This window comes from Homo sapiens, chromosome 19 (genome assembly GCF_000001405.40).
Source record: "Homo sapiens chromosome 19, GRCh38.p14 Primary Assembly".
Classification (NCBI taxonomy): domain Eukaryota; kingdom Metazoa; phylum Chordata; class Mammalia; order Primates; family Hominidae; genus Homo; species Homo sapiens.
The window spans coordinates 8,302,127-8,323,931 of record NC_000019.10 but is presented as its reverse complement, the minus strand read 5'-3'; the positions used below and the strand labels follow the sequence as shown (position 1 = coordinate 8,323,931).

At 54.2% G+C, this 21,805-nt stretch overlaps 4 protein-coding genes across 10 annotated transcripts in view, besides 16 other annotated features; 3 read left to right on the top strand and 1 right to left on the bottom strand.

Annotated features, from left to right (window-relative positions):
* KANK3 (KN motif and ankyrin repeat domains 3) overlaps positions 1 to 1,348 on the top strand; it is a 20,679-nt gene extending 19,331 nt beyond the window's left edge. For all 4 annotated transcript variants that reach the window (NM_198471.3, XM_006722718.5, XM_011527884.2 and 1 more), the window contains one exon: positions 1,010 to 1,348. In NM_198471.3, the coding sequence (NP_940873.2) occupies positions 1,010 to 1,093 (84 nt within the window). In that variant the 3' untranslated portion in view covers positions 1,094 to 1,348. The remainder of the gene's footprint in view (positions 1 to 1,009) is intronic.
* Positions 568 to 1,533: an enhancer, noted in NCBI's record as "H3K27ac-H3K4me1 hESC enhancer chr19:8387283-8388248 (GRCh37/hg19 assembly coordinates)". NCBI's record gives its function as "activates a minimal SCP1, AML or CMV promoter by ChIP-STARR-seq in naive H9 embryonic stem cells {active_cell/tissue: H9 hESC(naive)}" and the evidence as "EXISTENCE:reporter gene assay evidence [ECO:0000049][PMID:30033119]".
* RPS28 (ribosomal protein S28) lies at positions 592 to 2,436 on the bottom strand. Of its 2 annotated transcripts, NM_001031.5 has the most exons (4): positions 2,363 to 2,436; positions 2,229 to 2,276; positions 1,841 to 1,979; positions 592 to 1,660 (listed from the first exon to the last, which is right to left on the bottom strand). In NM_001031.5, exons 1-3 carry the CDS (start codon positions 2,399 to 2,401, stop codon positions 1,857 to 1,859), a joined length of 210 nt encoding a protein of 69 aa, NP_001022.1. In that variant the 5' UTR covers positions 2,402 to 2,436; the 3' UTR covers positions 592 to 1,660; positions 1,841 to 1,856. The 2 variants fall into 2 exon arrangements, with proteins under 2 accessions (NP_001022.1, XP_047295157.1); XM_047439201.1 differs by lacking the exon at positions 592 to 1,660 and having other exon boundaries at positions 1,835 to 1,979.
* Positions 1,534 to 2,501: an enhancer, noted in NCBI's record as "NANOG-H3K27ac-H3K4me1 hESC enhancer chr19:8386315-8387282 (GRCh37/hg19 assembly coordinates)". NCBI's record gives its function as "activates a minimal SCP1, AML or CMV promoter by ChIP-STARR-seq in naive and primed H9 embryonic stem cells {active_cell/tissue: H9 hESC(naive and primed)}" and the evidence as "EXISTENCE:reporter gene assay evidence [ECO:0000049][PMID:30033119]".
* Positions 1,534 to 3,469: a biological region, named in NCBI's record as "NANOG-H3K27ac-H3K4me1 hESC enhancers GRCh37_chr19:8385347-8386314 and GRCh37_chr19:8386315-8387282".
* Positions 2,408 to 2,647: an enhancer, noted in NCBI's record as "active region_13912". NCBI's record gives its function as "activates an Ori minimal core promoter by ATAC-STARR-seq in GM12878 lymphoblastoid cells {active_cell/tissue: GM12878}" and the evidence as "EXISTENCE:reporter gene assay evidence [ECO:0000049][PMID:35858748]".
* Positions 2,502 to 3,469: an enhancer, noted in NCBI's record as "NANOG-H3K27ac-H3K4me1 hESC enhancer chr19:8385347-8386314 (GRCh37/hg19 assembly coordinates)". NCBI's record gives its function as "activates a minimal SCP1, AML or CMV promoter by ChIP-STARR-seq in naive and primed H9 embryonic stem cells {active_cell/tissue: H9 hESC(naive and primed)}" and the evidence as "EXISTENCE:reporter gene assay evidence [ECO:0000049][PMID:30033119]".
* On the top strand, positions 2,557 to 15,337 carry NDUFA7 (NADH:ubiquinone oxidoreductase subunit A7). Of its 2 annotated transcripts, NR_135539.2 has the most exons (5): positions 2,557 to 2,624; positions 3,026 to 3,075; positions 7,287 to 7,436; positions 12,337 to 12,520; positions 15,048 to 15,337. NR_135539.2 is itself a non-coding variant. In NM_005001.5 (4 exons), the coding sequence occupies exons 1-4, from the start codon at positions 2,574 to 2,576 to the stop codon at positions 12,425 to 12,427; spliced, it is 342 nt and encodes a 113-aa protein (NP_004992.2). In that variant the 5' UTR covers positions 2,557 to 2,573; the 3' UTR covers positions 12,428 to 12,648. The 2 variants fall into 2 exon arrangements, 1 of the variants encoding a protein (NP_004992.2); NM_005001.5 differs by lacking the exon at positions 15,048 to 15,337 and having other exon boundaries at positions 12,337 to 12,648.
* Positions 3,470 to 4,437: an enhancer, noted in NCBI's record as "H3K27ac-H3K4me1 hESC enhancer chr19:8384379-8385346 (GRCh37/hg19 assembly coordinates)". NCBI's record gives its function as "activates a minimal SCP1, AML or CMV promoter by ChIP-STARR-seq in naive H9 embryonic stem cells {active_cell/tissue: H9 hESC(naive)}" and the evidence as "EXISTENCE:reporter gene assay evidence [ECO:0000049][PMID:30033119]".
* Positions 7,330 to 8,136: an enhancer, noted in NCBI's record as "H3K27ac-H3K4me1 hESC enhancer chr19:8380680-8381486 (GRCh37/hg19 assembly coordinates)". NCBI's record gives its function as "activates a minimal SCP1, AML or CMV promoter by ChIP-STARR-seq in naive H9 embryonic stem cells {active_cell/tissue: H9 hESC(naive)}" and the evidence as "EXISTENCE:reporter gene assay evidence [ECO:0000049][PMID:30033119]".
* Positions 11,389 to 11,991: an enhancer, noted in NCBI's record as "H3K4me1 hESC enhancer chr19:8376825-8377427 (GRCh37/hg19 assembly coordinates)". NCBI's record gives its function as "activates a minimal SCP1, AML or CMV promoter by ChIP-STARR-seq in primed H9 embryonic stem cells {active_cell/tissue: H9 hESC(primed)}" and the evidence as "EXISTENCE:reporter gene assay evidence [ECO:0000049][PMID:30033119]".
* Positions 14,746 to 15,275: an enhancer, noted in NCBI's record as "H3K27ac-H3K4me1 hESC enhancer chr19:8373541-8374070 (GRCh37/hg19 assembly coordinates)". NCBI's record gives its function as "activates a minimal SCP1, AML or CMV promoter by ChIP-STARR-seq in naive H9 embryonic stem cells {active_cell/tissue: H9 hESC(naive)}" and the evidence as "EXISTENCE:reporter gene assay evidence [ECO:0000049][PMID:30033119]".
* Positions 15,331 to 16,070: an enhancer, noted in NCBI's record as "H3K27ac hESC enhancer chr19:8372746-8373485 (GRCh37/hg19 assembly coordinates)". NCBI's record gives its function as "activates a minimal SCP1, AML or CMV promoter by ChIP-STARR-seq in naive H9 embryonic stem cells {active_cell/tissue: H9 hESC(naive)}" and the evidence as "EXISTENCE:reporter gene assay evidence [ECO:0000049][PMID:30033119]".
* Positions 15,331 to 16,084: a biological region, named in NCBI's record as "H3K27ac hESC enhancer GRCh37_chr19:8372746-8373485".
* Positions 15,472 to 15,810: a silencer, noted in NCBI's record as "fragment chr19:8373006-8373344 (GRCh37/hg19 assembly coordinates)". NCBI's record gives its function as "represses an EF-1alpha promoter that drives an FKBP-Casp9 reporter gene in an ReSE screen in HepG2 liver carcinoma cells {active_cell/tissue: HepG2}" and the evidence as "EXISTENCE:reporter gene assay evidence [ECO:0000049][PMID:32094911]".
* On the top strand, positions 15,574 to 21,805 carry CD320 (CD320 molecule). 2 transcript variants are annotated; one of them, NM_016579.4, is made up of 5 exons: positions 15,574 to 15,783; positions 18,776 to 18,901; positions 19,844 to 20,077; positions 20,952 to 21,155; positions 21,327 to 21,805. In NM_016579.4, exons 1-5 carry the CDS (start codon positions 15,642 to 15,644, stop codon positions 21,467 to 21,469), a joined length of 849 nt encoding a protein of 282 aa, NP_057663.1. In that variant the 5' UTR covers positions 15,574 to 15,641; the 3' UTR covers positions 21,470 to 21,805. The 2 variants fall into 2 exon arrangements, with proteins under 2 accessions (NP_057663.1, NP_001159367.1); NM_001165895.2 differs by lacking the exon at positions 18,776 to 18,901.
* Positions 15,785 to 15,874: a silencer, noted in NCBI's record as "silent region_10015". NCBI's record gives its function as "represses an Ori minimal core promoter by ATAC-STARR-seq in GM12878 lymphoblastoid cells {active_cell/tissue: GM12878}" and the evidence as "EXISTENCE:reporter gene assay evidence [ECO:0000049][PMID:35858748]".
* Positions 15,955 to 16,084: an enhancer, noted in NCBI's record as "active region_13911". NCBI's record gives its function as "activates an Ori minimal core promoter by ATAC-STARR-seq in GM12878 lymphoblastoid cells {active_cell/tissue: GM12878}" and the evidence as "EXISTENCE:reporter gene assay evidence [ECO:0000049][PMID:35858748]".
* Positions 16,071 to 16,811: an enhancer, noted in NCBI's record as "H3K27ac hESC enhancer chr19:8372005-8372745 (GRCh37/hg19 assembly coordinates)". NCBI's record gives its function as "activates a minimal SCP1, AML or CMV promoter by ChIP-STARR-seq in naive H9 embryonic stem cells {active_cell/tissue: H9 hESC(naive)}" and the evidence as "EXISTENCE:reporter gene assay evidence [ECO:0000049][PMID:30033119]".
* Positions 19,450 to 20,016: an enhancer, noted in NCBI's record as "H3K27ac-H3K4me1 hESC enhancer chr19:8368800-8369366 (GRCh37/hg19 assembly coordinates)". NCBI's record gives its function as "activates a minimal SCP1, AML or CMV promoter by ChIP-STARR-seq in primed H9 embryonic stem cells {active_cell/tissue: H9 hESC(primed)}" and the evidence as "EXISTENCE:reporter gene assay evidence [ECO:0000049][PMID:30033119]".

The window sequence follows — 21,805 nt, the reverse complement described above, 5'->3', positions numbered from 1 at the left end:
GAAGGGGGTCCAGAGCTTCAGAACTGGAGACTGGGTGAGTTTGCAGAACACATTAACCCCCAACACCACTATACTCTGATGGCCAAGTGCCAGGATGTTTTAGCACTTTCATAATCCAAGTTATCTAATCAGCCCACTCATCCTGTACAGGTTGACCCCAATTTACCATGGCTCCACTTACCATTTTTTATTTATTTTTGAGATGGAGTCTTCCTCTGTCACCGAGGCTAGAGTGCAGTGGGGCGACTGCAGCTCACTGCAACCTCCACCTCTGGGGTTCAAGCGATTCTTCTGCCTCAGCCTCTCAAGTAGTTGGGACTACAGGCACGTGCTACCATGCCCAGCTAATTTTTTTTTTTCATTTGAAGACAAGAGTCTCGTTCTGTCACCCAGGCTGGAGTGCAGCGGCACAATCTCAGTTCACTGCAACCTCCACCTCCCAGGTTCAAGAAATTCTCCTGCCTCAGCCTCCCAAGTAGCTGGGATTACAACAGCTGTGAGCCATCGCGCCTGGCACAACTTACAATTTTTTGACTTCATGATAGCATAAAAGCAATGTGTGCTTAGTAAAAACCACACTTCAGCAGAGTATTCAATAAATTACATAAGACATTCAATACTTTATTAAAACAGGCTTCGTGTTAGACGAGTTTCCCCAACTACAGGCTAAGGCGTTCTGAACAAGCTTAAGATGGACCATGCTAAGCTGTGATGTTTGGGAGATTAGGTGTATTAAACACATTTCAACTTGCAATACTTTCAACCTATGATGTACTCACCGGAATGTAACCCATTGTAAACTGAGGAACACCTGTACTCACCCCACTGGAAGGGATGTGGGAGGAAGGTCAAGCGCCTCTTCCAGGTCAGAAGGGGCAGAGGTTGGATACAAACCAGGCAGCCTGGGTCCATGGTAAAAGAACCTCCACTAAGTGAGGCTGGGGCTGAATCCCACGTTTCCTGCCTCAAGGAGATTGCAGCAGGCCCCCCTCTTTTCCCCTCTCTCCAGAGCGAGTCACCCCCTGGCTCCCAGACAGCCACACCTGGTGAAGGAGAATGCGGTGACAATGGAGAGAACCCCCAGGTTCAGTAAGCTGCCTCGTCTGGCTCACTACACCTAGCTGTGGGGAGATCTCCTCGTCAGTCACCTCAGCCTTTGGCGCACAGAAGGGTCCAGGGTCCCCTGCTCAGAGGCTAACACTGGCCGAAGAGAAAGGCAATTTCAGTTGGGGTGACTGTGGCAGGAAGGGGCTCACTCTGGCCCCACCAAGGTGAGGTGGGGACCAAGTGATAGAGCCCTGATCCACCCACTCTCTGAAACTTCTTTGCTAATAAAACATTCCTACTACGCTTGTGTTTTGTTTGGGGTAGAGGGTGCAATCGACAAACACGACCCCCCGCCTCAAAAAGGAAAAGCTTCGTTTGGCAAGACCGCACGGCCAGGATTTCCAGAGTGCGGAGGATCGGTGACCGCCTGGGAGCCACTCAAGAAACCTGGAGAAACCCTAGTCGTATAACCCAGACAAGAACCTGAGTTAACTTGAAACACAAACGCTTTATTTAAAGGAGCATCTCAGTTACGTGTGGCGGACAAAAAAAAGGAGCAGACTGTGACAGACCATTCCCATCGGCCAAGTGGTCGAACCCGACATCCAAGACCCTGTAAACAGACCCAAACATGAGATGTTGACAGGCCCCGCAGCAATTGGCAAACTCCCGCCTCCCTCTTGTCAGTCTCTGTATGTAGACTCTGCCTCCCAAACCCTCTCACCCTGGGCTTAACGAAGCCTCCCTACCACCAACCAAAGGTCTATCAAAGGGGTGTCCTCTTTGCACCCACCAGCGAGCAGCCAAGCTCAGCGCAACCTCCGGGCTTCTCGCTCTGACTCCAAAAGGGTGAGCACGTCGCCCTCGCGCACGGGGCCTTTTACATTGCGGATGATGGATCGGCTCGTGTCGTCCATGAATTCCACGCGCACCTACGGGTCCCCACCGGAGTGGAGGAAGAAGTAAGGGCGGGCCGCGGAAAGGCACCGCGGAGTGGGAAGCAGATATGAATTCAGAGAACGTGTCGGGGCCAGAATACAGATCGTTAAAGGGAACCATCAGAACCCCGTGATGAAATGAGAATCGGCTCCCGGATTCCGGCTGGCAGGGGTTAGGGCAGGGTAGAGGTCACATCAGGGTTTAGGTCGCCGGCAGTCGGCCAAATGCCCCCACCCGATTACCTGCGTGCACTGTCCCTGAGAACCGGTCCTGCCCAGGACCTTGGTGACCTGGAGGAAAGAAGCTGGGTTCAGACCCGGCCCGTTTGGCTCCTCTAATCCCTCCCCCTGCCCCCAAATTCGGGCCCCCACCTCACCCTGGCCAGCTTGATAGGCTGCACACGGCTGGTGTCCATGATGGCGGCGCGGCGGCGGTCTGGCGGAGAGGAGTCACGTGCTTCGGGGAGAGCCTTTATAGGACGTTCTAGCACCGCCCACTCCCGTCTCGCGATACCACGCCGCGTCTTTCCCAGCAGCCCCAGCGGTGGAGACGTCACCGGCTGCGCCCTTCAGTATCGCGGACGGAAGATGGCGTCCGCCACCCGTCTCATCCAGCGGCTGCGGAACTGGGCGTCCGGGGTGCGCGGGGCGGACAGGGCTGCACCATGGGGGGCTTCGGGCTCCGTGTGTCCGGGACCCGCTCCTGCTCCTCACCTCCCTCCTAAGCCGGGACCCTTCGCTCTCCCCGAATCTCCCTGGGAACCCCCAGCTAGTCACCCCTTCAGCCCGGGACCCTCTCCTGGCCTGGGAACCACTCAGGCCTGGGATTTCCCCAGTCCCCGACCTTCTTAGCCTTGGATCTGTGGGCCCGGACTCTGGCTTTGCTCTTCACCTGCAGGACCCACATCCGTTTCCCCGAGTGTTCATCCCCTGCCTTCCCTTAAAATGCGCATCCCCGGACCATCCCTGGTCCCTTGCCCTCTCCTTTCCTCTCTCCTGGGGTGCCTTGCAGGCCGACCTCTCCTCTCCTCTTCCCACAGCATGACCTGCAGGGGAAGCTGCAGCTACGCTACCAGGAGATCTCCAAGCGGTGAGCAGGCCCCGCTCGCTGCCCAGCCTCTGGCTCTGTCCTTTCTCCACCAAAAACGAAATCTGTGTTCCTTTAGACCCCTGAAACGGAGGGCTGACATCCTGCCACCAGTCCCCTGCCAGGCTGTGGAGGCAGAGGTTTGCCTTTAACCTTGCTGAACTCCGGAGGACAGCCCTCCTGAAACAGCGAGGCCGGGCGTGCATTCTGACTGGCAATCAGGCTAGATTTGCAGTGCTCAGCGTGGCCATGTTAGTCAGTGTTATCCCCAAGCTACAGATGAAAAAAGAGGTCCAGAGAGGCGAAATCATTTGCCTCAAGTCACTCAGAAGCTAAAAAGTGGCAGCGGGGACTTGAACCCAGAAGTGTCCTGATTTCAGACTCATTTATATTAAAATATTAGTTGATATTTACAAGCCCCCGTCATGTATGACCTCAGCCTTGGGTTTAACTTTGTGAACCAGGAAAGTTCTTATCCACATTCTTTCATGGACGCCACATTCTAGGGAGAAGCATAGTAGGGAAACAAACACAGCAGGTAGTATTGTTCTGGAATGCTTTGAAGACAAAACAAAATAAGTGGAAGCTGGAGGGTGGCTACGTAAAGTCAGATGATTGGGAAAGATCTTTCTTTGGAAATTGACAGTTGAGTCCCCTGAATGATGGGAAGGACCCATTCAAAGAATAATTATTGAAAAAACATTCTGACCGGGCGCGGTGGCTCACGCTTGTGATCCCAGCACTTGGGGAGGCTGAGGCAGGCGGATCACGAGGTCAGGAGTTTGAGACCAGCCTGGCCAACACAGTGAAACACAGTAAAACCCCCTCTCTACTAGAAATACAAAAATTAGCCGGGCGTGGTGGCGCGCGCGGGTAGTCCCAGCTACTCGGGAGGTTGAGGCAGGAGAATCGCTTGAACACAGGAGGTGGATATTGCAGTGAGCTGAGATCGCACCACTGCACTCCAGCCTGGGTGACAGAACAACACTCTGTCTCAAAAAAATAAAAAAGAAAAAACATTCTGAGCAGAGGGAACAGGAAGGGCTAAGAGTGTCAGGCTGGACAGAGCCTGAGTGGAAGGAGGCCAGTATGGATGGAACCCATTGAGGGAAAGGGATAATGGTATAATCTATGAAGTCAAAGGGTAGGCAGAGGTAAGGCAGTCATTGAGGATTATAATGAAAGGAAGAAAAATAGCATTAAAATAATGAAATTTATGTAAATGCCTATATGTTGTGACTAATTCCAAATATTAGAAGTATCAAACTTTGTTTTCAACTTTTTTTTTTTTTTTTTTTTGAGACGGAGTTTTGCTCTTATTGCCCAGGCTGGAGTGCAATGGCACAATCTCAGCTCACTGCAATCTCCATCTCCCGGGTTCAAGCGATTCTCCTGCCTCAGCCTCCCAAGTAGCTGGGATTACAGGCATGTGCCACCACGCCTGACTAATTTTTTGTATTTTTAGTAGAAACGGGGTTTCACCATGTTGGCCAGTCTGGTCTCGAACTCCTGACTTCATAATCCGCCTGCCTCGGCCTCCCAAAGTGCTGGGATTACAGGTGTGAGCCACTGCGCCCGGCTTGTTTTCAACTTTAACGTTAAGTTCTGGGGTACATTTGCAGTTTTGTTACAAAGGTAAACGTGCCATGGTAGTTTGCTGCAAAGATCAAAGATCAACCTATCACTTAGGTATTAAGCCCAGCATCCATTAGCTATTCTTCCTGATGCTCTCTCCCCCCCAACCCCCGACCCCCCTAGTTGGCTTTCTATCAGGGTAGTTGTGGGCCAGTTGAGGAAATGGCTTTGTGAAAGTTTTGACTTTTTTAGGATGACGGCACCCTCTAGTGATTCATCTGGATGTTTTATTGGTCTTTTTTTTTTTTTCTTTTTTGAGACAGAGTCTCACTCTGTCGCCAAGCTGGAGTGCAGTGGCGGATCTGAGATCACTGCAATCTCCGCCTCCCGGGTTCAAGTGATTCTCCTGCCTCAGCCTCCCGAGTAGCTGGGGCTACAGGCGTGCACCACCACACCCAGCTAATTTTTGTATTTTTAGTAGTGACGGGGTTTCACCATGTTTGCCAGGATGGTCTGATCTCTTGACCTCGTGATCTGCCCGCCTCGGCCTCCCAAAGTGCTGGGATTACAGGTGTGAGCCACCGCGCCTGGCCTTTTTTTTTTTTTTTTTTTTTTTTTTTTGTAAGACTGGGTTTCTGTGACCCAGGCTGGAGTGCAGTGGCACAATCATAGCTCACTGCAGCCTCGAACTTCCAGGCCTAAGTGATCCTCCTGGTCCAGCGTACCAAGTAGCTGGGATTACAGGCACATGTTACCGTGCCTGGCTAATTTTTAAATTTTTGTATAGAGACAAGGTCTTACCATGTTGCCCAAGCTGGTCTTAAACTCCTGGCCTCTGACTGGGCATGGTGGCTCATGCCTGTAATCCCAGCACTTTGGGAGGCCGAGGCAGGCGGATCACAAGGTCAGAAGTTTGAGACCAGCCTGGCCAACATAGTGAAAACCCATCTCTACTAAAAATACAAAAATTAGCCAGCATGGTGGCACACGCCTGTATTCCCAGCTACCTGGGAGGCTGATGCAGGAAAATCGCTTGAACCTGGGAGGCGGAGGTTGCAGTGAGCCGAGATCGCACCACAGCACTCTAGCCTGGGCGACAGAGCGAGACTCCATCTCAAAAAAAAACAAACAAAAAAAACACTCCTGGCCTCAAGCAATCCTTCCACCTTGGCCTCCCAAGGTATGAGCCACCACATCCAGCCTCCTTAAGCAAAGTCTTTCACATAATATATTGCTTTTAATATTAAACATTTTTTACTTTATGTTTCTTATTTTTAAAAAATACAGTGACTAACACTTGTTTTAAGAAAAAGGCCAGGAGTGGTGGCTCACGCCTGTAATCCCAGCACTTTGGGAGGCCAAGGTGAGAGGATAACTTAAGGCCAGGAATTCGACATCAACCTGGGCAACATAGCAAGACCCCCGACTCCACAAAAACAATAGAAAAATTGTTTTTAGCCAGATGTGGTAGTGTGCGCCTGTAGTTCCAGCTACTTGAGAGGCTGAGGCGGGAGCATTGCTTGAGCCCAGGAGGTTGAGGCTGCAGTGAGCTATGATCACACCTCAAGCGATCATATGATTGCATATATCATCCAGGCTGCAGTGCATATGATCACTGCCTCAGAAAAAAATTAAATTCCGGGAAACAGTTCCCAGACAAAAAAGTGACTTAGAAACATGGCTAAGTGGAAACAGATCAATTTACGGTTTTTGCTGTCTTCTCTCCTCCCTCTCTCTGGAAAGCCCGTCTTTTGTTTTGAGCTTTTTTTGTTTTTTGAGATGGAGTCTCGCTCTGTCGCCCAGGCTGGAGTGTAGTGGCGTGATCTCAGCTCACTGCAACCTCTGCCTCCCACCACCATGCTTGGCTAATTTTTGTATTTTAGTAGAGATGGGGTTTGCAGTGTTGGCCAGGCTGGTTTCGAACACCTGACCTCAAGTGATCCACCCACCTCGGCCTCCCAAAGTGCTGGGATTACAGGCATGAGCCACCCTGCCCATCCTTGTTTTGAGCATTTCTTTTAAGGCCTCAGGCTTCCAGGTAAATCCAGCCCAGGGTTTAGTTCAAGCCAAGACCGAGCTCTGTTCACCCCTCTCTGGGCTCCAGAGAGGAGTTGCCTGGCCACATGGTGGCAGGAAATGCAGAGATCTTGACAGGCTCCAAGGCTAAGGTGTTCTTGAATAATGGGCCTTGATCCTAGCAGGGTTCTCCAGAGACTTCCTGAGATAACAGGAAACGCAGGGCGTCCAGAGCCTGGCTTTAGGGGAAAAAGCCACTCAGAGTGGACAAAGTCAAGTGAGGCTGGCTGCCAAGCTCAGCCGTGGGGTGGGGGGCATGGGGACATGTCCCGGGCCTTGGGAGCCTCAGAAAGGGTCCTCTGTACCCTCCACATTTGGGACAGGTGGGGTCCCTGGGGGTGGCATCTTCACATCCAGAGCAGGGTCCACCATCTGCTTCTGGCCCCAGGACCCCTCCCCAGGCATATGTCCCTGCCAGTGTACCAAGGGACACCCCCAGCCTGTGGCTTATCCCAGTGGCTGGCTGTAGATCCCACATTTTGTGACTGAGGTGACAGGGGCCCACAGCGGGGCCATGACAGTGACTGTCTCTTTGCTTCAGTGCTCATCTTTTTTCCCCTCAGAACTCAGCCTCCTCCCAAGCTCCCTGTGGGTCCTAGCCACAAGCTCTCCAACAATTACTATTGCACTCGCGATGGCCGCCGGGAATCTGTGCCCCCTTCCATCATCATGTCGTCGCAGAAGGCGCTGGTGTCAGGCAAGCCAGCAGAGAGGTGAGGATCTCCAGCGCTGCTCACCACAGCCCCCATGCCCCCTCCTGCAACCCACTCTGTCTCCCAACTTGTGGAAAGGGTGCTTGTCAAGATCCTACTTAGTAAGCATCAGTTGCGCAGGAACTGTGCTGCTGGGAGCTTTTTGTCCGAGAGCTCATTTACTCGTTTTTAGAGACAGAGTCTTGCTCTGTTGCCCAGGATGAAGTGCAATGGCGCAATCATCACTCACTGCAGCCTTGAACGCCTAGGCTGAAGTGATCCTCCCCTCCTTCCTTGGCCTCCCCAGTAATTGGTGTTACAGATTAGTGCCACCATGCTGGGTCAATTTTTTTTTTTTTTTTTTTTTTGAGACGGAGTCTCACTCTGTCACCCAGGCTGGAGTGCAGTGGTGTGATCTCGGCTCACTGCAATCTCCACCTCCCGGGTTCAAGCGATTCTCTGCCTCAGCCTCTCAAGTAGCTGGGGTTACAAGTGCCCACCACTACACCCAGCTAATTTTTGTATTTTCAGTAGAGGCGGGGTTTCACCATCTTGGCCAGGCTGGTCTTGAACTGACCTTGTGATCCACCCGACTCGGCCTCCCAAAGTGCTAGGATTACAGGCGTGACCCACCGTGCCTGGCCTGTTTTGTTTTTGTTTTTGTTTTTGTTTTGAGATGGAGTCTCCCTGCGTCGCCCAGGCTGAAGGGGTGGGTTGCCCCTCCACACCTGTGGGTGTTCCTCGTTAGGTGGAATGAGAGACTTGGAAAAGAAAGAGACACAGACAAAGTATAGAGAAAGAAATCGGGTGACCAGGGGACCAGCGCTCAGCATACGGAGGATCCACCCGGCCTCTGAGTTCCCTTAGTATTTATTCATCATTATTGGGTGTGATGTGTGAGAGGGGGATGTGGCAGGATCATAGGATAATAGTGGAGAGAAGGTCAGCAGGTAAACACGTGAACAAAAGTCTCTGCATCATAAACAATGTAAAGAATTAAGTGCTGTGCTTTAGATACATATACACGTAAACATCTCAATGCCTTAAGGAGCAGTATTGCTGCCCGCATGTCCCACCTTCAGGCCTAAGGCGGTTTTCCCCTATCTCAGTAGATGGAATATACAATCGGGTTTTACACCGAGACATTCCATTGCCCAGGGAAGGGCAGGAGACAGATGCCTTCCTCTTGTCTCAACTGCAACAGGGCATTCCTTCCTCTTTTACTAATCCTCCTCATCACAGACCCTTTACCGGTGTCGGGCTGGGGGACGGTCAGGTCTTTCCTTTCCCACGAGGCCACATCTCAGGCTATCACATGGGGAGAAACCTTGGACAATGCCTGGCTTTCCTAGGCAGGGAACCCTGTGGCCTTCTGTGGTGTTTTGTGTCCCTGGGTACTTGAGATTAGGGAGTGGTGACGACTCTTAAGGAGCATGCTGCCTTCCAGCTTCTGTTTAACAAAGCACATCCTGCACTGCCCTTAATCCATTTAACTCTGAGTTGACATAGCACATGTCTCAGGGAGCACAGGGTTGGGGGTAAGATTACAGATTAAAATGGAGTCTCTTATGTCTACTTTCTACACAGACACATTAACAATCTGATTTCTCTTTCTTATCCCCACACCAGGCTGGAGTGCAGTGGTGTGATCTCGGCTCACTGCAAGCTCTGCCTCCCAGGGGTTCACGCCATTCTCCTGCCTCAGCCTGCCTAGTGGCTAGGACTACAAGTGCCCACCACTACACCTGGCTAAGTTTTTGTATTTTTAGTAGAGACGGGGTTTCACCGTGTTAGCCAGGATGGTCTTGATCTCCTGATCTCATGATCTGCCCGCGTTGGCCTCCCAAAGTGCTGGGATTACAGGCGTGAGCCACCATGCCCGGCCTCCATGCTGGGTTAATTTTTAAATGTTTCGTAGAGATGGGGTCTTGCTTTGTTGCCCAGGCCGTTCTCAAACTCCTGGGCTCAAGCGATCCTCCTGCCTTGGCCTCCCGAGTAGCTGGGACTACAAGTGAGAGTCACCATGCTCAGCAAGAGCTCATTTAGTCCAACCCAGGGGAGGGTAGAAGTTAGCGCCTCAGCCAGGACTCTGCATCCTACAAAACAGATGAAGTCCGGGGTCCCTCCAAGGGTCCTGTGAGAAACTGAGACATTACTGTTGATATAATTATGAATTCTTATTTTATTTATTTATTTTGAGACAGTCTCACTCTTATTGCACAGGCTGGAGTGCAGTGGCGCGATTTCGGCTCACTGCAACCTCCACCTCCTAGGATCAAGTGATTCTCCTGCCTCAGCCTCCCAAGTAGCTGGGATTACAGGCGCATGCCACCATGCCAGGCTAATTTTGTATTTTTAGTAGAGATGGGGTTTCACCATGTTGGTCAGGCCGGTCTTGAACTCCTGACCTCATGTGATCCTCTGGCCTCGGCCTCCCAAAGTGCTGGAATTACAGGTGTGAGCCACCATGCCCAGCCATGTATTCTTCTCAGAGACAGAAGTGTATAAACCTTGGGCTCCTCTCAAAAAGCAGTTTGGTCCCTGGTTTCAGGTGTCTTCTCTTAATTAAATGGGGACTCTAATAGCATCTACTTCAGAAAGCTGTTACGAGGGTTAGTCCTCATAATTAATATTTGTAAACTCTTGGAGCCTGGCACAGAGTCAGTGTCCTGCCTACCTCCTAATAACTCCACCAGTTAGATGGTGATGACCCCTCTTGCAGAAGAGGAAATCGAGGCTCACAGAAGCCAAGTGACTGGCCTGGGCCACACAGGCAGCAGTAAGCAGAAGCAGGATTTCAAACCAGTTTTCCTGGACTCCTGTTGGGGTCTGGGCTCTACAGCCAACTCACGGTGTGGGCAGTCCCTCAGCCTTCTTGAGCCTTGGTTTCTTCACATATAAAATAGGGATGCTAGACTTGCAGTGTGCTGAGATCTGGGAGGTGATGAGGTCAGGCAGGGCCTGCTCTGTACTTAAAACTCTGTGAGGTCTGGGCGCGGTGGCTCACGCCTGTAATCCCAGCACTTTGGGAGGCCGGGGAGGGCGGATCACCAGGTCAGGAGATCGAGACCATCGTGGCTAACATGTTGAAACCCTGTCTGTACTAAAAATACAAAAAATTAGCCAGGTGTGGTGGTGGGCGCCTGTAGTCCCAGCTATTCGGGAGGCTGAGGCAGGAGAGTGGTGTGAACCCGGGAGGCGGAGCTTGCAGCTCACTGAGATCGCGCCACTGCACTCCAGCCTGGGTGACAGAGTGAGACTCTGTCTCAAAAAAAAAAAAAAGAACTCTGTGAATAGGCCAGGCGCAGTGGTGTGTGCCTGTAATCCCAGTGACTCGGGAAGCTGAGGTGTGAGGATTGCTTGAGTTCTAGACTTGTTTGAGTAACACAGCGAGACCCCGTCTCTATTAGAAATTTTTTAGGCTGGGCATGGTAGCTCACGCCTGTAATCCCAGCACTTTGGGAGGCCGAGGTGAGAGGATCACTAGGGGTCAGGAGATCGACACCAGCCTGGCCAACAGGGCGAAACCCTGCCTCTACTGAAATACAAAAGTTAGGGGCGCTGTGGCTCTCGCCTGTAATCTCAGCACTTTGGGAGGCCGAGGCGGGTGGATCGCTTGAGCCCAGAAGTTCAAGACCAGCCTGAGCAGCATGGGGAAACCCCATCTCTACAAAAAATACAAAAATTAGCCGGGTGTGGTGGTGTGCACCCGTAGGCCCAGCTACTTGAAGGGCTGAGGCAGAAGGATCTCTTGAACCTGGGAGGTCGAGGAAGCTTCACTGAGCTGAGATTGCGCCACTGCACTCCAGCCTGGGTGACAAAGTGAGACCCTGTCTCATAAATAATAAACAAGAAAGAAAATACAAAAATTAGCCGGGAGTGATGGTGCACACCTGTAATCCCAGTTACTTGGGAGGCTGAGGCAAGAGAATCACTCAAGCCTGGGAGGCGGACGTTGCAGTGAACTGAGATTGTGCCACTGCACACCAGCCTGGGTGACAGAGCAAGAGTCTGTCTCAAAAAGAAGGAACTCAGTGGAGTGGTCCTTGTTGTCACCTTCTGATTCACTGGAGTCCAGCACCAGAGTGTGGCAAGATACCTTGTTCCCACACAGCCCCTTGCCATGCCCCCAGAGATGTGTGCATTTCCCAGGGAGGCCACTTCTGCCTTTTCCATTTCCTTGAGGCTCCTGGGAGGTCCTGTGCCTCCACCCCTGGGGCGCCTCCTCCATCACCCCACCCTCCTGCTTCCTTTCTTGCTTAGGCTGTGAAGTGTGTGAGCTCCACAGGCTCAGGTGGGTGGGGTGAGAGGGGAGGGTGCTCGTCCTGGACTTGCCGGCACAGGGTCTCCTGGGGGCTCCCTCTTGGCCAGCTCTGGGCCAGAGATGCGTTTTGCAGTTGCCATTTGCGCATGGATTCTCAGCCCCACCAGCCTGAGTCTTCCTGAGGGCGGTGCCCCATCTTCCTGGCTCTGCGCCCACACAGTAGCGCCTGCCATGCAGTTCTTGCCCAGTCTGAGGCAGGAATAGCTGGAGGCCATTGTCACCTGATCGCTTGGCCCTTTTGCCAGCATCCTGTTTTGAGGGGCAGCAGGAATGGGGGTGGGGGCCTTGTGTACGCTGGAGACCAAAAGTGGGAAGGGAGGAGCCCAGCTCTCCACAGTGGGTTCTGGGCCTGGGGGCCACAGCAGGGGGTTCATACAGGGCTCAGGGGAGAGAGGAGGCTTGCTAGCTCCCACCTGGCGTTGGCTGATCCTCTGAGGGGCTGCGTTGGAGGGGTTGGCATTCTGGAACACCCTGCTGTCTGTCCTGCAGGTCCAGAAAGTCCCTGTGGGTGTGTTTGTCCCGGGGCAGGTGTGGGCTCCCTCAGATCTTTCCACACTGTTCTTTGGAAACCCTCACTGAAGTCTTTCCCTCCTCCAGCTCTGCTGTAGCTGCCACTGAGAAGAAGGCGGTGACTCCAGCTCCTCCCATAAAGAGGTGGGAGCTGTCCTCGGACCAGCCTTACCTGTGACACTGCACCCTCACGGCCACCCGACTACTTTGCCTCCTTGGATTTCCTCCAGGGAGAATGTGACCTAATTTATGACAAATACGTAGAGCTCAGGTATCACTTCTAGTTTTACTTTAAAAAATAAAAAAATAGAGACAGAGTCTCACCATGTTTCCCAGGCTGATCTTGAACTCCTGGCCTCAAGCGATCCTCCTGCCTTGACCTCCCAAAGTGCTGGGATTACAGGCATGAGCCACCACACCTGGCCTGATTTTATTTTTATTTTTTAGACCTTCCCACTGAGGCCTCTGCTTGACCTTGGTCACCCTGTAGCTCAACGGGGAAGGCAAAGGACAGTGAGGGCTGCTTACAGGGAAGGCAGACCTAGGGCAGATCAGGAAAGGCCTCCCTGAGCCAGAAACCATTATGCTGGGGCTGTGGGATGAGAATGAGTTAGCTCCAGAAGGAAGGCAGCTGGTTCCTGGGGAGGAGATAGAAATCTGGCTGCAGGAGCCAGAGTTTTCGCGCTTGTCACCCAGGCTGGAACGCAACGGCACGATCTCAGGTCACTGCAACCTCTGCCTCCTGGGCTCAAGCAATTCTGCCTCAGCCTCCCGAGTAGCTGGGACTACGGGTGTGCACCACCATACCCGCTAATTTTTTTTTTTTTTTGTAGAGATGGCCAGGCTGGTCTCAAATTCCTGACCTCAGGTGATCCGCCCGCCTTGGCCTCCCAAAGTGTTGGGATTACAGGTGTGAGCCACCACGCCTGGCCCCTGATTTTAAGCAATACCCAGCTTACTTGGATTTTGGGGTGAAGTCAGTGCTGAGTCTCCCAACTCTGTTGGCACTCCAGGGGTGGGACAGACACTGTCCCTGGGTGCAGAGGCCCTGGAGACAGCACTGCCCTTTCCCCCAAAGGCCAGGCTCTGACCTTGAGAGTGGTGGGAGTGGGTGATCCTTCTGGGAGGTTGGACTCCCAGGACCGCTGGCTGTTGGGGAGCATTGATTGTGAAGACCAGTCAGGTGGGGTAAGGGGTGTATGTGCGGACACTCAGTAGGCCAGCCACAGACTTCTCACTTCTTTTTTTTTTTTGAGACAGAGTTTCGCTCTTGTTGCCCAGGCTAGAGTACAATGGCGCGATCACGGCTCACTATAACCTCTGCCTCCTGGGTTCAAGTGATTCTCTTGCCTCAGCCTCCCGAGTAGCTGGGATTACAGGCGCCTGCCACAAGCCCAGCTAATTTTTGTATTTTTAGTAGAGACGGGGTTTCGCCATGTTGGCCAGGCTGGTCTCAAACTCCTGACCTCAAGTGATCCGCCCACCTCTGCCTCCCGAAGTGTTGGGATTACAGGCGTGAGCCACCGCGCCTGGCCTAACTTCCATCTCTTGAGGGCTCCCACAGCCACTTCTCACATGAACCTTCCTCAGCACCTTCCCACTGAGGCTCCTGCTTGACCATGGTCACCCTGCAGCTCAACGGGGAAGGCAGAGGACAGTAAGGGCTGCTCACAGGGAAGGCAAACCTAGGGCAGATCAGGAAAGGCCTCCCTGAGCCAGATCCCATTATGCTGGGGCTGTGGGATAAGAATGAATTCGCCCCAGAAGGAAGGCAGCTGGTTCCTGGGGAGGAGACAGAAATCTGCAAAGGGAGGGTGTCCAAGTCTGGCTGCAGGAGCCACCCAGTGACCCTACGCAGGGGAGTGTCATGGCTTCCCCAGGGCACAGCCCCAGACCCTTCAGCAGCTAAAAAAGATCAGCTGTGGACCAAGAGGGTGCTGAGACCGCCCTGCCCTCTGGAAGGGGAAAGGCCACGGCTACAGGCAGCAGGTACCAGTGTCCCAGAGTGGGTCCTACAAAGGCTAACACCTTCCTGGAGAAGGTGGGATTCTGCTTGGGGCAAAAGGATGAATCAGATTCAGAAAGGTCAGGAGGGAAGGAAAGACTAGGCAGGGTGTGCAGAGGCCACAAGGAGGGCAAGACCCTAGGCAAGGCATGCCGCTGACGGCATCTGAACCAAGTTTTATGACCACAACTTTTTTTTTTTTTTGAGACAGAGTCTCACTCTGTCACCCAGGCTGGAGTTCAATGATGTGGTCTCGGCGCACTGCAACCTCCGCCTCCCGGGTTCAAGCGATTCTCCCATCTCAGCCTCCCTAGTAGCTGGGACTACAGGAGCATGTTACCACACCCGGCTAATTTTTGTATTTTTGGTAGAGACGGGAGTTTTACTATGTTGGCCAGGCTGGTTTAGAACTCCTGACCTCGTGATCCGCCTGCCTCGGCCTCCCAAAGTGCTGGGGTTAACAGGCGTGAGCCAGCGCGCCGGCCAACTTTTCTAACAAATGGGGTCTCACTGTCACCCACGCTGGAGTGCAGCCCCAAGTGATTCTCCCACCTCAGCCTCCTGAGTAGCTGGGACTACAAATTAGAGCCACCATGCCCAGCTAATTTTCTTTTTTCTTGAGGCGGGCGGGGACTTGCTGTGTTGCCCAGGCTGATCTCGAACTCCTGGGCTCAAGCGATCTGCCCGCCTCTGCTTCCCAAAATGCTGGGATCACACACGTGACCCACCGCGCCCGGCCTTTATTATTAAATTTAATTAATTAATTGATTTCCTTTCCTTTTTCCCCCCCAAGCAACCCGACTCCGAGAATGGACGTTTCATTTATTCATTTACTCACCAAATGTTTACTAAGAGCCTACTATGAGTCAAGCACTATGTGTCAGATCCTGAGAATAAAGCAGTGAGCAACAGAAGATCCCTGCCCTCCAGTAGCTAGCATTCTATGGGGACTCGGACAACAAACCAGAATAAGTAAATAAAATAAATTACCTGTCGGCGCCACAAAAGCAGTGGGATGAGGGAGGAAATGCGGAGTGCCTGAGGGGCGTGGCTGCCATATTAAAGAAGATCACGAGGCAGTAACATTTGCAGCAGTCCTCATTTGGAACGGGAAATAATGCAAATGAACACCAACAAATTCCTTCCCATCCCCAGAAGTTTCTAACTTCAAGCGGGCTCCATACCTTTCAACTGATCTGGTCACTGGGGAAAGTGGGGACGGGCCTCTAATTCTCTTTTCCCTGCTATTCTGACATTTACGGTACGCGTAGCCGCGGGCGCCGCAGAACTCAGGGGCTTGGGCCCCGCCCCAACCCCGCGCGTGCGCGTGCGCAGGGATAAGAGAGCGGTCTGGACAGCGCGTGGCCGGCGCCGCTGTGGGGACAGCATGAGCGGCGGTTGGATGGCGCAGGTTGGAGCGTGGCGAACAGGGGCTCTGGGCCTGGCGCTGCTGCTGCTGCTCGGCCTCGGACTAGGCCTGGAGGCCGCCGCGAGCCCGCTTTCCACCCCGACCTCTGCCCAGGCCGCAGGTGAGTGACGCCCCGCAGCGCGGGCTCCCACCCCTCGCGAGGCTTCGCCCCGCCGCCGCGCACCGACAACGCCTAGTCACTGGCTGCACCGCACGTCAGTTCATGACACTCCCCCAGCACGTGGACTTGGACTTCATCGCTTGTGGGAAGGCGCGCACTGGTGCTAGGAAGACCCCATGCTGGGGGAGGGGAGGAGGGTGTCTCCACCTGCCTTTAACGGTTTTGCTCCGGCCCTGCACACCGTCTCCACACCTGCTGTGCCCTGTCGTCCCCCATTGTCACCTCCAAGCCGCCCTTCATACCAGCGTGGTCAGGAAAGCTCTTAGCAGGCTCAGATTGTCCGACCGCTAATCACGCAGGACGGGTCACCTGGTGCCTCTCGCACCTTTGCCTTCCAAACCCTCGCGCCCAGGCCTTGTGACCGTTCCGCAACCGTCCCTGCCCTCCCAGTCTCTCCTCCTTTGTCCTCCATCCTTAGAGAACGCGAGGTCTCTCCCCCCCATGCTACTGCAGGCTCTCGCAGAGACTGGGGTCACAAGTTGAATATACCCCCGTGGACGTGTTCGCCCTGGCCTAAGAGGTATTGGTGGCCAGTGGGGACGGGCTCCCTCTCTGATACCCCTAGAGGCAGCTGGAGGGTTGGAGTGGCCTCCCTGTGCACTCAGGCACTCCCAACTTGCAGCCCTGGGCTCAGGCTCACACACTTTCCCAGCTCCTTTGTGCATTCCGCACTTCTAGGTCCCTGGACTCATCCCAAAGTCCCTGACATTCACGTTAAATGTTCCTGGGTTTTTTTTTGTTTGTTTTTTTTTAAGGAGGCAGCGTTCACGTTAACCAAGTACAAAAGTTTTTGTTTTTTTTTTTTTGAGTCTCCCTCTGTCGCCCTGGCTGGAGTGCAGTGCAATGTTGGCTCACTGCACCCTCCGCCTCCCGGGTTTAAGCAATTCTCATGCCTCAGCCTCCCGAGTAGCTTGGGACTACAGGCACCGTCACCATGCCCGGCTAATTTTTGTATTTTTAGTAGAGATGGGGTTTCACCATGTTGGCCAGACTGGTCTCGAACTCCTGACCTCAAGTGTTCTGTCCGCCTCAGCCTCCCAAAGTGCTGGGATTACAGGACAAAACTCTATACACAGTCTCTTTTTTCTCAGGATGTTGAGGTAGGGATTCCCAGCATACCCCGTTTACAGGTGAGGAAACTGAGGCCAGGAGAGAAAGTCACTGGTCACTGTAACTCCTGTCAGGCTTACACCCTATGAGGCGGGGACTGCTGTGCTCTACTGTCCACTTTGCAGAGGGATACACACTCCCGCAGTCCAGCGAAGGGAGGTCAGAGGTGTCAGGGCTGTGGAAGTCTGCGCCTGGGTGGAGAGCCACACCTGGAGGCTGCCAGATCTCCCGGGGGCGGGGAAGGAAGCAGGCACCGGTTTGTCCACAGCTCTTCTGGGATCCATAGAGCTCAGGGACCCTGTGGCAAGTAGGTGCAATTAGGCCTGAAGGCCGAGGAGGGGCTGGCAGTGGGGAGTGGGGGGTTGGAGGCTCATGGCTGGTGGGTAAAGGTGGAAGAGGTTAAAGGCCTTGGCAGAGTGAAGCTAAGCCAGGGTGGCGGATTTGCCACCTCCCCTGGCCGCACCCAGGAGGAAGCCGTAAAGGCCACTCCCTTCCTCTGTCCCTTGGCCCAGGTTGCGGGCCCCTCCGTGCCCCTCCAGGTCGGCAAGCAGCTGAGCTTCCCTGCTCAGAATCTAGGACAGCCGGGATCTTCTCTGGACCCAGCTTGGACCCTTATGTGACCTGTGTCCACTTATAATCAGGCACTGCCCTGGGTTTAGGCGGCCAGGTCACAGCCCTGACCTCCACAGAATGTCCAGTCTGTGGGTGGACAGGCATGACCAGGGCTTTAAGGACAGTTGTTAGACATGGGAGGCAGTGCTTCCTAGGTCTCCAAGAGGGACATGAGAACCCTCCCAGGAAATCAGCTGAGATCTGAAAATTGAGGGGAAAACACAGGGTGTAGGGAGGAGAGAGGGAAAGGCAAGTCTCTGGTGTCCTAATGGACCTTGGGGCCTGGGGCCTGGGGCTCTGGTGAGGAGCTGACACATTTAGGATGGGGAGAGTGATAGGTCTGGGAGGAATTCAGGAGGCGGGGCAACAGGACTTGGTGACTGAGCAGATTTTCTACCCAGTGCCTCAGTTTCCCACCCACTGCCTCAGTTTCCCTTTTGCTACGCAGAGGAGATAGACCCTCCCTGCTGACCTGAGCCCGGGAGCCTGACCCAGGGCATGTGGAAAAATGGCCCGTCCCTCAGTCTCTTTAACCACTGAGTTTGGAGGTCTCCCTGGCAGATCATCTCGCTATGAGGAGCCTGGTGAAGACTCTGGGATCAGCGAGACCTGAGTTCGAAGCCCAACTCCGCTACCAGCTCTTTTTTTTTTCTTTTTTGTGGTGACGGAGTCTCGTTCTGTCGCCCAGGCTGGAGTGCAGCAGTATGATTTCGGTTCATTGCAACCTCCATCTCCCAGGTTTAAGCGATTCTCATGCTTCAGCCTCCCGAGTAGCTGGCATTACAGGCGTGCACTACCACGCCCGGCTAATTTTTGTATTTTTAACAGAGACGGGGTTTCCATGTAGGCCAGGCTGGTCTCGAACTCGTGACCTCAAGTGATCCACCTGCCTCGGCCTGCCAAAGTGCTGAGATTACAGGCGTGAGCCACTGCACCCAGCCTCTGCCACCAGCTGTATGGCCTCCTCTTGGTTCCTTTCTCTGTAACCTGGGGAGTGCAGTAGCACCTGCCCAGTGGGGCTCTTGAGCCCAGGAACTGCTACACTCTGAACCCCACTCGTACTAGGGGCTCAGTAACAAGCAGCCGCCAGTGTGGTTCCTATATCCCGGGACTTCGCCTGTCTCCTGCGGATCACAGCCAGTGACTACTGTGCTCTTGGAGAAAGGTCCAGCCTCCAGCTTCCCAGGCTTCATTTGCATCCATCTCGCAGGCCCCAGCTCAGGCTCGTGCCCACCCACCAAGTTCCAGTGCCGCACCAGTGGCTTATGCGTGCCCCTCACCTGGCGCTGCGACAGGGACTTGGACTGCAGCGATGGCAGCGATGAGGAGGAGTGCAGTGAGTGGCCACGCCCCTTGGCGGGGCTTACAGGGGGCGGGGCCTGAGGGTGGTTTGTCAGGGGCCAGGCACGCGGAGGTGGAGCTTGTGGGAAAGGCAGGGCCGCAGGGATGGGTGCGACTTGGGTCTGTGGGTCATAAGAAGCGGGGTCTAAGATGGGCTTGGGCTGGGCGCAGTGGCTCACGCCTGCAATCCCAGCACTTTGGGAGGCTAGGGTGGGAGGATCGATCACTTGATCCTGGGAGGTTGCCGCTGCAGTGAGCTAGGATTGTGCCAGTGCACTCCAGCCTGGGCAACAGAGTAAGACTGTCTCAGGAAAAAAAAAGAAAAAGAAAAAAAAAAGAAAAATGAAAGAAAGGAAAGAAAGGAAGGAAAGAGAGAGGGAGGGAGCCAGGTACGGTGGCTCACACATGTAATCCCAGCACTTTGGGAGGCCAAGGCAGGCGGATCACTTGAGGTCAGGCGTTCGAGACCAGCCTGGCCAACACAGTGAAACCCCATCTCTACTAAAAATACAAAAGTTAGCTGGATGTGGCGGCAGGCCCCTGTAATCCCAGCTAGTCAGGAGGCTAAGGCAGGAGAATCACTTGACCCTGGGAGGCAGAGGTTTCAGTGAGTCGAGATTGCGCCACTGCACTGCAGCCTGGGCAGCAAAGGGAGACCCCGTCTCAAAAGAAAAAATAAAGAAAGAAACAAACAAACAAATAGAATAAAGTGGGCTTGTAGGAAGGTAGAGCTAGTGGGGTCTCAGGGGAAGAGCTTGCAGGGAGGCCTGTCCTTAGAAAGTGGAGTTAACAGTTGCAGGGGGCGGAGCCTTAGGAAGGGAGCATTTTTTTGGGCTCAGCTGTTCTTAGAGGGTGGGGCTTGCAGGGGATGGGGTTTCAGGGAGTACCTGGGCCTTCTTGGGTGGGCATTTGGGACCTGACCAACCCTGTGCCCCAGGGATTGAGCCATGTACCCAGAAAGGGCAATGCCCACCGCCCCCTGGCCTCCCCTGCCCCTGCACCGGCGTCAGTGACTGCTCTGGGGGAACTGACAAGAAACTGCGCAACTGCAGCCGCCTGGCCTGCCTAGCAGGCGAGCTCCGTTGCACGCTGAGCGATGACTGCATTCCACTCACGTGGCGCTGCGACGGCCACCCAGACTGTCCCGACTCCAGCGACGAGCTCGGCTGTGGTATGCACCTGCGGGGCTGGGGTGGACTCGTGGGTAGATGGGGACACCCACTGCCTGCTGGGGCGTGGCCAGGCTGGGGGCGTGGACACATGCCTTTGCCCGTGCCTGCATCCCTGTGGGGGAATCAAGACATCATTAGGGGCCGGGCCCGGTGGCTCACGCCTGTAATCCCAGCACTTTGGGAGGCTGAGGTGGGCGGATCATCTGAGGTCAGGATTTCGAGACCTGCCTGGCAAACACTGCGAAACCCCGTCTCTACTAAAAGTACAAAAAAATTTGCTGGGCATGGTGGCACACACCTGTAATCCGAGCTACTCAGGAGGCTGAGTCAGGAGAACCGCTTGAACCTGGGAGGCAGAGGTTGCAGTGAGCTGAGATTGGGCCACTGCACACCAGTCTGGGTGACAGCAAAACTCTGTCTCAAAAAAATTTAAAAAAGGCCGGGCACGGTGGCTAACGCCTGTAATCCTAGCACTTTGGGAGGCCGAGGCAGGCAGATCACCTGAGGTGAGGTGTTCGAGACCAGTCTGGCCAACATGGCGAAATCCTGTCTCTACTAAAAATACAAAAGTTAGCTAGGCGTGGTGGCGTGCACCTGTAATCCCAGCTACTCGGGAGGCTAAGACAGGATAATTGTTTGAACTCAGGAGGCAGAGGTTTCACTGAGCCAATATTGCGCCACTGCACTCCAGCCTGGGTGGCAGAGCCAGACTCCCTCTCCAAAAAAAAAAAAAAAAAAAGACATAATTACGGGCAGTCAGCTTCACCCAGCCTGGTTGGTTGAGGATAAACCCCAAGGGCTCCCCTGGGCATCTGGCCCCCTCACGCCTTCAGTGCTCTCTCCTCAACTACTGAACGCCTGGGCTTATTGCAGGAACCAATGAGATCCTCCCGGAAGGGGATGCCACAACCATGGGGCCCCCTGTGACCCTGGAGAGTGTCACCTCTCTCAGGAATGCCACAACCATGGGGCCCCCTGTGACCCTGGAGAGTGTCCCCTCTGTCGGGAATGCCACATCCTCCTCTGCCGGAGACCAGTCTGGAAGCCCAACTGCCTATGGGGTTATTGCAGCTGCTGGTAAGAGGGACTTACCCTCCCATGCTGGGGGCTTAGAGCTCCGGGGATTCAGGGGAGGTGGGTGGGGAGGGATGAGCTGCAGAACTCCCATCCCCATGTGTATGGAGCTTGGTGGGTGTGGGGGCTCTTGCCTTCCCCCTCCTTACTCCTCTGTCCATCTGTTCCCCACAGCGGTGCTCAGTGCAAGCCTGGTCACCGCCACCCTCCTCCTTTTGTCCTGGCTCCGAGCCCAGGAGCGCCTCCGCCCACTGGGGTTACTGGTGGCCATGAAGGAGTCCCTGCTGCTGTCAGAACAGAAGACCTCGCTGCCCTGAGGACAAGCACTTGCCACCACCGTCACTCAGCCCTGGGCGTAGCCGGACAGGAGGAGAGCAGTGATGCGGATGGGTACCCGGGCACACCAGCCCTCAGAGACCTGAGCTCTTCTGGCCACGTGGAACCTCGAACCCGAGCTCCTGCAGAAGTGGCCCTGGAGATTGAGGGTCCCTGGACACTCCCTATGGAGATCCGGGGAGCTAGGATGGGGAACCTGCCACAGCCAGAACTGAGGGGCTGGCCCCAGGCAGCTCCCAGGGGGTAGAACGGCCCTGTGCTTAAGACACTCCTGCTGCCCCGTCTGAGGGTGGCAATTAAAGTTGCTTCACATCCTC